General features: G+C 49.1%; 2 protein-coding genes across 4 annotated transcripts in view, besides 1 other annotated feature; one reads left to right on the forward strand and one right to left on the reverse strand.

Annotated features, from left to right (window-relative positions):
• The window catches only part of RETREG3 (reticulophagy regulator family member 3), a 29,920-nt gene extending 23,364 nt beyond the window's left edge, over positions 1–6,556 (reverse strand). For 2 of the 3 annotated variants that reach the window (NR_026697.2, XM_047435503.1), the window contains exon 1: positions 6,215–6,556. Coding sequence is in view for 1 of the 3 variants with exons in the window: in NM_178126.4 (NP_835227.1) it covers positions 6,215–6,453 (239 nt within the window). In the remaining 2 variants the exon portion in view is untranslated. The remainder of the gene's footprint in view (positions 1–6,214) is intronic. The other variant, NM_178126.4, reaches the window with a different exon arrangement.
• Positions 6,385–6,494: an enhancer, noted in NCBI's record as "active region_12211". NCBI's record gives its function as "activates an Ori minimal core promoter by ATAC-STARR-seq in GM12878 lymphoblastoid cells {active_cell/tissue: GM12878}" and the evidence as "EXISTENCE:reporter gene assay evidence [ECO:0000049][PMID:35858748]".
• On the forward strand, positions 6,812–12,367 carry TUBG1 (tubulin gamma 1). Its single transcript, NM_001070.5, has 11 exons — positions 6,812–6,915; positions 7,237–7,349; positions 7,552–7,719; positions 9,204–9,272; positions 9,556–9,635; positions 10,076–10,202; positions 10,776–10,862; positions 10,978–11,127; positions 11,389–11,541; positions 11,625–11,786; positions 11,973–12,367. The coding sequence occupies exons 1-11, from the start codon at positions 6,867–6,869 to the stop codon at positions 12,168–12,170; spliced, it is 1,356 nt and encodes a 451-aa protein (NP_001061.2). The 5' UTR covers positions 6,812–6,866; the 3' UTR covers positions 12,171–12,367.

The raw sequence follows: 12,905 nt of genomic DNA on the forward strand, positions 1-12,905 counted from the left end.
GGTTGAGGTTGCAATAAGCCATGATCACACCACTGCTCTCGAGCCTGGGCGACAGTGAGATCCTGTCCCCCGCCAAAAAAAAAACTTAAGATAGAAATTAGTAAATAATTTCCATTTACATATATTTGAATTCTTTTCTTATTTGTGAGAGTGAAATTTTATATATCCATTGATTTTTTTTTCCCCTTTTGTGAACTGTCCCTCCACTCTGTCAGGGACTAAAATCCAATTAAATGATCAGTCTAAATAAAATATCCCTGGAATAGCAATTGGTGTCCAGAAACATCGTGAGAAATTCCAGAACCAAACATAAACTTTTGTGATTAACTATACCATGGAGCCTCACTATTAGTACCAGTAAATTAAAGTTTGCTATAATCATAAATAATGACCACATGTCTATTTTCAAAGACATGATTTCTAGGTTCCTTTGTTATTACAGATTAAGATTGTCTCAAGGGCACTTCAAAACAAAGCATCCCATTCTACAGGGACAGAAAGCCTGTTACTGTACAGCACTTGTGACCGCCTGGTTAATGAGCCCAAGTCACCGGTAAATTCAAAGGAAAAATTAACCCAACCTATATCATGCAGTGACAGTTGTTGCTTGCAAAAAAACCAGAAATGAAATCAGCTAGCTGCTAACAGTGGAGAGAAAGCACTCAACCATACAATTAGGGCAGATAAAAACTAAAGGTAAAGAGAGGGGAAGTAAATAAACCAAGGCATCCTTGGGAGTCTTCTCGGCTCACAAAGACAAGAACCCTGCAAAGACTATCATCAGGAACATTCACTCAACAGATTTCATTAGAAATCTGATGTGTAGCCGGGCGCGGTGGCTCACGCCTGTAATCCCAGCACTTTGGGAGACCGAGGCGGGCGGATCACGAGGTCAGGAGATTGAGACCATCCTGGCTAAAACGGTGAAACCCGGTCTCTACTAAAAATACAAAAAATTAGGTGGGCATGGTGGCGGGCGCCTGTAGTCCCAGCTACTCGGGAGGCTGAGGCAGGAGACTGGCGTGAACCCGGGAGGTGGAGCTTGCAGTGAGCCGAGATCGCGCCACTGTACTCCAGCCTGGGCGACAGAGCGAGACTCCGTCTCAAAAAAAAAAAAAAGAAAAGAAATCAGATGTGTAGATTTTTTTTAACAGAACAAATATCTCTACTTAAATGGGCTCCCCATCTTCCATTTCTTGTTTCTATTATTTTTTACTCAAATCCTAACCTTCTAACTCAGAATTGCTGTATATCCTTAATCACTTTTTTGGGTCATTTTTATTTATTTATTTTTTTGGGGGGGCGGACAAAAATAAAATTTTTACATTTCATTTGTGAAATAACAAATTCTATAATAACCTCCTAGAAATACAGTATGGTTCACTGAGACTAGTGACTGCAAAAAGCAGATCCCAACAGAGATCTCTACTTGGGACTCAGCTTGTGGACTGCTCCAAAACAATATTCCTAATTCATAGACTATGTAGATTCACAGATTGTTAAAAACCACAAAGCAGTCAAGGTGCAGTGGGTCATGCCTGTAATCCTAGCACTTTAGGAGACCAAGCCGGGAGGGCTGTTAGAGATGAGGAGTTTGAGACCAGCCTGGGCAACATATTGAGATTCTGTCTCTACAAAAGTTTTGCAAATAGGCTGGGCCCAGTGGCATGTGCCTCTAGTCCCAGCTACTTGGAAGACTGAGGCAAGAGGACTGCTGGAGCCCAGGAGGTAGAGGCTGCAGTGAGCTATGATTGTGCCACTGCACTCCAGCCTGGGCAACAGAGGGAGACCCTGTCCAGCCCAACAACCCCCGATTCCCCAGCAAAAAAAAAAAAAAAAAAAAAAAACTGAAAGAGCTCAGCAGTTATGTAGGCCTCCTTGAACTATCTCTTCATGTTAGGTGGGAGAGGGAGCTTGGAGTTCACACATTTCCAGTGTTCATTTACCCTCCTCTGATCTCAGAGTACAAGTCAAACCAAAAAGTTACCCAAACCTGTTCTTTTCTGATCCTGTCAGGATACATGCTTGTTGACTCTCACATTCTTCCCCCAAATCACTCATTCACAGATGAGGTTGAGACTAATGAAAACACAAGCTATTGGAAGGAACGGCCTGACATTTCTATTATTATGCTAGAGACAATAACAGATCAGTGACCAGAAGTAATCTAGGCTGGAAGACCTCTGATATGGCCACCATAAATTCTCTGGTACCTGAAAAAAAAAAAAGTATGAAAACCTTGGAATACTATGGTGACAAGGTATCTACATCTATCTCCATCTTTTTTTTTTTTTTTTAAGATGTAAGAGGGCATATTCACAGTTACGGCAAAATATGACTGAGGATACAAAACACTGAAAATTAAGAGCTACCTACCTGAATTCTGATGGGTTTTTTTTTGTACTCCTATCTCCTAATACCTCAAAATGCATAAAAATCTCAGTTAATGATATGTCATTTTTGTCCCATTATTCAATACAATAAAAGAGAAACTAAATATTTCAGATTTGATTTTTCTGACTTGAGCTAATGATCCTCCTCCCTTTCTTAAACATTTAAAATGTTTGTTAACTGAACAGTCAGTCACTCTTCCACATTTCTAAGCGAAATGTCAACACTCATACTCAATATGACACTACTAGAATGTGAAGCCCAAATTTCATTTTAAATCTCTAATTACCTACCAAGGAAGCTCATTTCCCCAAACAATTCTGTGAACTCCAATGCCAGACTATCCAAGTTTCTGGGGACTTAACAGTATCTGTGCCTTTCACATGTAGGAGTCCTCTCCAGAAATGGCATACCCAACTGTTCTTTTAGTCTCAAGAGTCACATTGTCGGCCAGGGACAGTGGCTCACACCTGTAATCCCAGCACTTTGGGAGACCGAGGTGGGTGGATCACCTGAGGTCAGGAGTTCAAGACCAGCCTGGCCAACATGGTGAAACTCTGCCCTACAAAAATACAAAAATTAGCCAGACGTGATGGTGGGTGCCTGTAATCCCAGCTACTCGGGAGGCTGGGGTGGGAGAATCGCTTGAACTTAGGAGGTGGAAGTTGCAGTGAGCCAAGATCACGCCATTGCACCCCAGCCTGGGTGACAGAGCGAGACTCCATCTCAAAAAAAAAAAAAAAAAAAAAAAGTCACATCCTCATTTTGTTGTCTCTCTCCTGCACCTTCTTAAAATGTGATGGGACTGTAACAAGAGTAACTGTGTTCTGGATACACAACAGACAAGCTACTAGGAAATGCCAAAGATAAAGACCAATCACAGCAATGCTTTAAGAGACCCAGAGTACAAAAGGGGTTCTAAGTGAGCCTCTAAACATAGCATGTTAATAAGCTTAAGTAAACACTGGTAGAGGCCAGCAAATTAAAGCTAGCTGTAACATCTAAAGATATGTCCCAGTCACAGCAGCTCTTTATGTGCAGACCTCAACCTCACATTCTGCTTCAGAAACCTCTCTCAGACAAGCGGCAGAAGAAAGGTCCCCTCCTCGCAGATCACGAGGTCAGGAGATTGAGACCATCCTGGCTAACACGGTGAAATCCCGTCTCTACTAAAAAAAAATACAAAAAATTAGCCGGGCGTGGTGGCGCGTGCCTGCAATCCTAGCTACTCGGGAGACTGAGTCAGGAGAATGGCGTGAACCCGGGAGGCAGAGCTTGCAGTGGGCCGAGATGGCGCCACTGCACTCCAGCCTGGGCGACAGAGCGAGACTCCATCTCAAAAAACAAAAATTAATTAAAAAAAAAAGGTCCCCTCCTCAAAAAGAACAGCATACATGCTACTAATTCATTTGCATTCATAAATCTTTGGTTTAAAAATCCATTTAAGGCCCGGTACAGTGCAGTGGCTCACACCTGTAATCCCAGCACATCGGGAGGCTGAGACAGGTGGATTGCTTTGAGGTCAGGAGTTTGAGACGAGCCTGGGCAACCTGGCAAAACTGTCTCTACAAAAAAATACAAAAATTAGCCAGGCATTGGTGGCGCATGCCTGTAATCCCAGCTGCTCGGGAGGCTGAGGCAGGAGAATCGCTTGAACCTGGGAGGAGGAGGTTGTAGTGAGCTGAGATCGTGCCATTGCACTCCAGCCTGGGCAACAAGAGCCAAACTGTCTCAAAACAAAAATAAGTAAACCCTGATAAAGTGTTTTTTTCCATCAGGCAGTCATACTTTGATACAAATTGGTTTAATGAGGCCCAGCCTTCTTGCTAGAGATACCAAAACCACTGTGGGAAATGTTTTGACTGGATAAAACACTCTTCAGTGAGGTGCTATAGTGAAGATTTCTACAGAGAGCAATGGGAATCAGTACCTAGGGGTCAAGGAAGAAGCACTTGGCTGGGCACGGTGGCTCATGCCTATAATCCCAGCACTCTGGGAGCCCAAGGCAGGAGGATCACCAGAGCCTAGGAGTTCGAGACCAGCCTGGGCAATATAGTGAGACCCTGTCTCCACAAAAAATTTAAAAAATTAGCCAAGCATGATGATGTGCACCTCTGGTCCCAGCTATTGTGGAGGCTGAGGTGGGAAGATTGCTTGAGCCCAGGAAGTGGAAGTTGCAATGAGCCGAGATCATACCACTGCACTCCAGCCTGGGTGATAGAGCAAGACCTTGTCTCAAAAAAAAAAAAAAAAAAAAAAAGGCCAGGCGCAGTGGCTCACGCCTGTAATCCCAGCACTTTGGGAGGCCGAGGCAGGCAGATCACCTGACCTCGGGAGTTCGAGACCAGCCTGACCAACATGGAGAAACCCCATCTCTACTAAAAAAATACAAAATTAGCCGGTTGTGGTGGTTCATGCCTGTAATCCCAGCTACTTGGGGGGCTGAGGCAGGAGAAATGCTTGAATCTGGGAGGCGGAGGTTGCAGTGAGCCGAGATCACGCCATTGCACTCCAGCCTGGGCAATAAGAGTGAAACTCTGTCTTAAAAAAAAAAAAAAGGGAAAAAGCACTACCAAAAATAAATGAAGAACGTGGTAGGAAAAGTTTACCATCGAGTTTGCTAAAGGCTCTGGAAGCCACAAATGCCAGAGACTACTGTGACACCTTTAACTGGGTCTCTTTCAAACTGGGAGAGGATTAGCTTAATAGCTGAACACTGTTTTCGGGTCAATGAACTTGGAATTATTTGTTCTGCTTCAGCTCACTGAAAATCTTTCAGATAAAGGATAATAAATGTTTTGATTTTAAAACAAATTTTAAGGGGAAAGCTATTTTTAGCAAAAACACAATTAAAAAACACACATATTTTGTTGTTTCAGGCTTATCCAGAATAGTCTTAATCCATTCAGCAGCAGAAAGCCCCCTATAAGTCAGTTCCCTTGGAACCTCCTCCATTACAAATAAATCCAAAATTATGGTTGGTAGATCCTATGAAGTCCTAGGTCCACTTCAGGTGATGACAACTGAGAGAAGCAGCAGTTCCATTTTCACAGAGCATGACACACACAAATAAAGCATATTTACAGTGCTACTTTTCCAGCTCAGGAAAACTCACACACAGTATTAGACATCAATTTCCTTGCCTATAAACCATGGCTAAGGATGCCTCTCTAATTCCTTGGAACAGGGAGGAGTTACAATCACAGGTGGCTTTGACACGCGTGTAATCTCCGTCATCATTTCCTAACTGTTCTTTAAAAGCTTGTAATTTTCTTTCAATTTTCAGCTTTGGGGGCTCACACTGACGCTTAGACTTCATAAACTTCCTTCCTAGATATATAACATGCTAATTCATGCGAATCGCTCAAGCTTGTTTTATAATCACACCTATGGATACCTTTGCAAGACTTCACGCCTCTACTCCAACAATAAACTACTAAAACCTCTGGAAACAATCTAGAACTTGCACTTGAGCAGACAAGAGAAAGGAAGTGATGGCTTTAAAGGGACGCAGCTTTGTCGGGCTCAAAAGAGGAGCCCTCGCTCACTCTTGAGCGGCTCAAGATGTTACCAGAAGCTCCCGCCAGATGTGCGGGGCGGGGGTGCGGGCACAGGTAAGGCAGAGAAGATGGGTGGACGGCCCTGGGAAGAACTAGGGTGCCGAAGCCTGCAGGCGGGATGGAGTGGAAGGAGGTGAGGCAAAATTAGGCAAGTACAGGAAGGAGCCAGTGCAGCGAAGAAAACAGGGCAGGCGAGAAGTAGAGCCCTAGAGGAACCAACGAATTCGGGACTCGGAGGGTTTCCGAGGGTCCAGTTCTCTCACCAGAAAGCCGCGTTCAGCCCCAGGCACCACAGAGCGCTCCTAGCTGGCCGCTCCCACACCAGGGCTGCCTGCACCCGACTCAGCAGAGGCTCGTAAGGCCCCAGCACCTCCACCAGGGCCCGCTGCGCCGCCTCAACCTGCTGGTCCCGCTCCCAGGAGCCTGACACATCTCGGCGGCCCCTGAAAGTCGACCCCGAAGCCGGGCCTGGGGTCGTGGGAACCCCTTCGGCCTCAGCCATCTCCCCGCGGCAGCCACAACATCCGGGGCCGTGGCCCGACAAGTCACAATAACAGCAACTGCGCAGATGCGCGATTCGGCGGGGGAGGTGGCTTCGCACCACAGCGCGCTTGCGCGCAGGCCCAAGCAGGCGCCCACCCAGAGGGGAGGGAGGACGCCGTACCCCGCCCTCACTGAGGCGCGGAGCCGGATCCGGAGGCGCCGAGCCGCATCCGGAGCCGCGCACGCGCAATCTGCATGAACGAAGGCCAGTGCTTAAAGACGTGCCATTCATTGCCAGAACTCGATTCTCATTGGAGCGGAGGAAGTTCGTGGGTGGAGCTGGTTGTTTGGCGCCTGCGTCTTGCGGCGAGCGGGCTGGCGTGCGGCGCCGTTGCGGGCGGGAGCGGCTGCAACGCCGGTGCCTGAGGAGCGATGCCGAGGGAAATCATCACCCTACAGTTGGGCCAGTGCGGCAATCAGAGTGAGCGAAACTCCGGCCCCTCAGCTAGCCAGGTTCCTTAGGGTCAATGGGATCTCGCTGTGGGATCCTGGACTCCATCTGTCCTTGCCAGAATCGTAGTTCTCTGAAAGGCGAGACATCCCTGACCCAGTGTCCACTTGCCCAACCCCGAGGGGCCCTCCCCTGCCCAGTCCCTGGCGTACAGTCCTTTCCTCAGACACGGGAGAGTCCTGCGGCTTGACTTCTTATCCCTGGACGCAGGCGCCCAGTCCCCCGGCTCCTGATTGGAACCTGCCCGGACCTAGATATCTTCTTTCTCCCCTGCCCGCCCCTTCCCCCCAGTTGGGTTCGAGTTCTGGAAACAGCTGTGCGCCGAGCATGGTATCAGCCCCGAGGGCATCGTGGAGGAGTTCGCCACCGAGGGCACTGACCGCAAGGACGTCTTTTTCTACCAGGTGCCCCCAGCGACTTGGCCGGGGGCGGCAGTTGCCCAAGGGGGCGGAAGGGAAGGGAGTGGCCTGGTACTGGGAACCCCGCTGGGCAGTAGGGCCAGGCGGCTGGCTTGAGGAGGGAGGGCCGGAGGGAGCCAGAGTTGGGAGGACTTCGGACTTGGGCCGCCCTAGCTGATTGGGCCCCCTCCTGGACTCCCCTTGACAGGCAGACGATGAGCACTACATCCCCCGGGCCGTGCTGCTGGACTTGGAACCCCGGGTGATCCACTCCATCCTCAACTCCCCCTATGCCAAGCTCTACAACCCAGAGAACATCTACCTGTCGGAACATGGAGGAGGAGCTGGCAACAACTGGGCCAGCGGATTCTCCCAGGTCGTTTCCTATTCCCTGGCAGGGCCCACAACTCGCTGGGTAGGGACAGGCTCTATGACGTCCCGAAGAGAGGGAAAACCGGATCAGGGATGTATGAATGCTGGAGGGAGAGACCTGGCTGCAGGGAGTGGACTATGTAATATTGTCAAGCGCCTACACTAGCTAATGCAGTGTGCCAGGTCATTCTAAGTGCTTTACATATATTAATTTTTCTAAATCTCCCAACAACCCTAGAAGTAAGTACTACAGGTCCACAGTCCCTTATCTGCCTTTCCAGGATCCAGAAAGCCATGAAACCAAAGGACATTTCATAACTAGTTTATCAGCAAAAACAAATTTCAATGAAGACAGGCTGTTTTATAGTTTCTTTTTTTTAATTTTTATTTATTTATTTTTTTTGAGACGGAGTCTCACTCTGTCGCCCAGGCTGGAGTGCAGTGGCACGCTCTCAGCTCACTGCAACCTCTGCTGCCCGGGTTCAAGCGATTCTCCTGCCTCAGCCTCCCGAGTAGCTGGGATTACAGGTGCTTGCCATCACGCCTGGCTAATTTTTGTATTTTTAGTAGAGACGGGGTTTTACTGTGTTAGCCAGGGTGGTCTTGATCTCCTGACCTCGTGATCCACCTGCCTCGGCCTCCCAAAGTGCTGGGATTGCAGGCGTGAACCGCCATGCCCGGCCCTATAGTTTCTATCCAACTTACTGTCATTAGTGATGCCTTTTATTACAGAAATACTAATATATTTGATTAACGTGCTTCTGATTAAATAAAAATTCCCACTGGAATTTTATTTAATATATAGTATATATACCATAATACCTTTCTAAAATCTGAAATATTTTGAATTCCAAAACATAACTGGCCCCAACACTGTTAGATAAGGGTATATGGACCTGTATTATTACCTTCATTGTACAGATGAGGAAACTGAGGCATAGAGCAATTAAATAAGCTGCCCAGAGCTACATAGAAGTAGAGTTAATGGGCCAGGCGTGGTGGCTCACGCCTGTAATCCTAGCACTTTGGGAGGCCAAGGCAGGCAGATCACCTGAGGTCAGGAGTTCAAGACCAGCCTAGCCAACATGGTGAAACTCTGATTCTACTAAAAATACAAAAAATAGCTGGGCATGGTGGCATGCGCCTATAATCCCAGCTACTGGGGAGGCTGAGGCAGGAGAATCGCTTGAACCCAGGAGACGGAGGTTGCCATGAGCCAAGATCGCGCCACTGCACTCCAGCCTGGGAGAAAGAGAGAGACTCCATCGCAAAAAAAAATAGAGCTAATGTATGAACCCAGGTAGTCTGGGTGTAGAGTGCTTTCTTGTAACCACTGCACCGTACTGCCTCTCAATGTAGATAAAAGCAGGTAGCTATGCTCCATAAAAGGACTTCTGGGTGTTATAAGGAGAATTGAGGGTGGCTTTTCTGAGGTCAGAGACCTCCCATGGTTCTGTCCCACTCTGACCCTCCCCTATGTCTGTACAGGGAGAAAAGATCCATGAGGACATTTTTGACATCATAGACCGGGAGGCAGATGGTAGTGACAGTCTAGAGGTAAGTGTCCCAGGAATGCTGGTAGGAGCCGACATGGGCAAGGCTTGGCAGCACCCTCTAGAAGCGACCTGTTAGGAACAAGACCCACTCATGTACCCTTTGCACTGGACAGAAGCTATCAGGCCTTGCCAGAAACAAGGCAGTTGCCTAAGCTGTATAAGTGAGGGGACTGGATGGGAAGCAAGGGCTCGGGAAAATGGGAGTCCTAAAAAACTATGAGATGGGTCTAGTTTGACATCCTGCCACTAGATACCTGTACACTGACTGCCCCTTCCCCATGCAGGGCTTTGTGCTGTGTCACTCCATTGCTGGGGGGACAGGCTCTGGACTGGGTTCCTACCTCTTAGAACGGCTGAATGACAGGTAAGTTTGTGTTTGGGGATTAGGAAAGGTCTCCAACTTGGCTTCCTAAATGACTAGGGGACCCAGCAGATATAACTCCATATTTGCTGGAACAGGAAAGAGTTCTTATATTCCCTCCTATAGAGAGGAAAATGAAGTTACAATGACTGAGAACCCCATCACACTCCCAGTAGTGGGAACTGGAGCCTAGAACCTGAGCCCTGGATGAAAGTCGAGGGAGTGTGGCCAGGTCTCAATTTGGAAGCCCAGAGTCTAAGATGTCTCTGCCCTTCCCCCTGTAGGGCTACAGACTTCCAAAAGTCAAGGCTCCCTTCTCTACTGATTTGACCCCACCCCAGTTTCGCCATCAAGATTTATCTGCTTCTGGACAGTTGTTAGGGAGCGCCATGTTCACCAGGCCTTCGGTCTGTTGCCCTGATCCTTTCCCCAACCCCCACCAGGTATCCTAAGAAGCTGGTGCAGACATACTCAGTGTTTCCCAACCAGGACGAGATGAGCGATGTGGTGGTCCAGCCTTACAATTCACTCCTCACACTCAAGAGGCTGACGCAGAATGCAGACTGTGTGGTGAGTCCTGGATTCTACCTCTCCCAACTCTCAACACCCCATACCCACTCGAGTCTATTAAATCATTTTCATGTATTTAAAAAAAATCCATTTTAGCCAGGTGCAGTGGCTCATGACTGTAATCCCATCACTTTGGGAGGCCAAGGTCGTTGGATCGTTTGAGTTTAGGAGTTCGAGACCAGCCTGGGCAACATGGCGAAACCCCATCTCTACTAAAAATACAAAAATTAGTCGGGAGTGGTGATATGTGCAGAAGGATCACTTGTGCCTCAGAGGCAGGGGCTGCAGTGAGCTGAGATCATGTCACTGACTGCACTCCAGCCGGGGTGACAAAGTGAAACCCTGTCTCAAAAAACAAGAACAAAAAAAAAAACTGTTTAAATAATTAAGATGAAAAGAAAAATTTAAAAATCCATTTTGAGCCCTCCTTTGCCCTAGGTCAGTGCAAATCTCTTTCCAGTGAGTCTTTCTGGCCATGAAGCTCAAAGGAAATTAAGCTTCAGAGCCTAGGGTCAGGCAGAGCTCCTGTTTTTCTTATCCCCATTGATCTGTGATCCTCTTCTGTCCCCCCAGGTGGTGCTGGACAACACAGCCCTGAACCGGATTGCCACAGACCGCCTGCACATCCAGAACCCATCCTTCTCCCAGATCAACCAGCTGGTGGGCCCCCACTCCTGGACTCCTTTGGACTTGAAGCCCTCCTTGTTGGAGGGTCATTTGGGGAAGGGAGGTCCCACCCAGGCTGAGGCCCATAACATGGCACGCCTGTCCCCAGGTGTCTACCATCATGTCAGCCAGCACCACCACCCTGCGCTACCCTGGCTACATGAACAATGACCTCATCGGCCTCATCGCCTCGCTCATTCCCACCCCACGGCTCCACTTCCTCATGACCGGCTACACCCCTCTCACTACGGACCAGTCAGTAAGAGCAGCCTTCAGTGTCCCAGGCCAGGCCGGCCCTGGGCCCAACAGGCCCTGTCCTAGCCTTTCTCTCTTCCCCACTGCCCCAGGAGCTACCCTTTGTGGACCCCAAGGCGCGGCGCTCAGGGACTGGCACAGAGTGGGCGACTTTCTTGCTGACTTGCTCTCCACCCTCCCTCTGCCTTTGGCTTCTGCCAAAGAGAAGCCAAAGGGGGACTGTGCCCTGAGCGCTGGCCGGGTCCCTGTCTCACTGTCCTATCAGGTGGCCAGCGTGAGGAAGACCACGGTCCTGGATGTCATGAGGCGGCTGCTGCAGCCCAAGAACGTGATGGTGTCCACAGGCCGAGACCGCCAGACCAACCACTGCTACATCGCCATCCTCAACATCATCCAGGGAGAGGTGGACCCCACCCAGGTAGGGGAGGCCCCTTCATCCCACACCCTGGACCTGCAGGGGTAGAGGAGAGGCCACCTCCACTGCTCCTATGCCCACCCCAGGTCCACAAGAGCTTGCAGAGGATCCGGGAACGCAAGTTGGCCAACTTCATCCCGTGGGGCCCCGCCAGCATCCAGGTGGCCCTGTCGAGGAAGTCTCCCTACCTGCCCTCGGCCCACCGGGTCAGCGGGCTCATGATGGCCAACCACACCAGCATCTCCTCGGTGAGTCTCAAAGTTTGCACCTTTTTTCCCTGAATCAGTTTCCTGACTATACCTCACCTCTCTGCATCTGCTGGCCCTGCTTCTAGCTTTTTTGCTGTGGGCATAGCCCAGCCTTGGTTCCCCAGCTTTCTGGGCCACGTTATTCTTTGAAGTTCTTTGTAACCCCTGTTTTCTGCACACCCCAAGCTCTTCGAGAGAACCTGTCGCCAGTATGACAAGCTGCGTAAGCGGGAGGCCTTCCTGGAGCAGTTCCGCAAGGAGGACATGTTCAAGGACAACTTTGATGAGATGGACACATCCAGGGAGATTGTGCAGCAGCTCATCGATGAGTACCATGCGGCCACACGGCCAGACTACATCTCCTGGGGCACCCAGGAGCAGTGAGTCCCCCAGGACAGGGACCCTCATCTGCCTTACTGGTTGGCCCAAGCCCTGCCTGACTGACCACCCCCTCAGAGCACAGATCAGGGACCTCACGCATCTCTTTCTCATATACATGGACTCTCTGTTGGCCTGCAAACACATTTACTTCTCCTCTTATGAGACTATTTATCTTTAATAAAGCACTGGATATAAATCAAGTCACTGCTCCCTTTAAAGCCTTTGGGTTCTGGAGATGCGGTGGGGATGCCTGTTCTTTCTCCATCATTCTGACAGGGTCCTCACCCACTTCCAGCATCTTCAATTCTGAACCAACAGCTTCCCCTAGGTTTTTCCTCTGCCTAGTTTTGGAGAACGCTGGTGGGGTTTGACCCACCTGAAATTCCTTTCCAGGGTAAAAAGGCCCAGAGATATTACTTTGTTCTCTGTCTGACCCTTTCTGGGTCCCCGTTCCCTCCCACCCTCACTGTATCAGGTGAATATTCCACCAGCCTCATGTTTCCACATCAGAGTGTCTGATTAATCACAACCTGAGGCCCAAGGCCACCACCACTGCCACTAGGCCATGAACAAGCAATGGAGTCCAACCCAATACCTTTAAGCTTCTAGCAAGCAGTCCAGGAGAGCCGCTCGTTTCAGGCAGTTGGAGTCTAGCAGCATCAAGTCAGCGACCAAATCTAAAACCTAGACTGTAAGCAGGATCATAAGTGGTTCCATAGCTAAGGCACCGTAATTCTC

The sequence above is a fragment of the Homo sapiens genome, chromosome 17 (genome assembly GCF_000001405.40).
Source record: "Homo sapiens chromosome 17, GRCh38.p14 Primary Assembly".
NCBI classification, from domain to species: domain Eukaryota; kingdom Metazoa; phylum Chordata; class Mammalia; order Primates; family Hominidae; genus Homo; species Homo sapiens.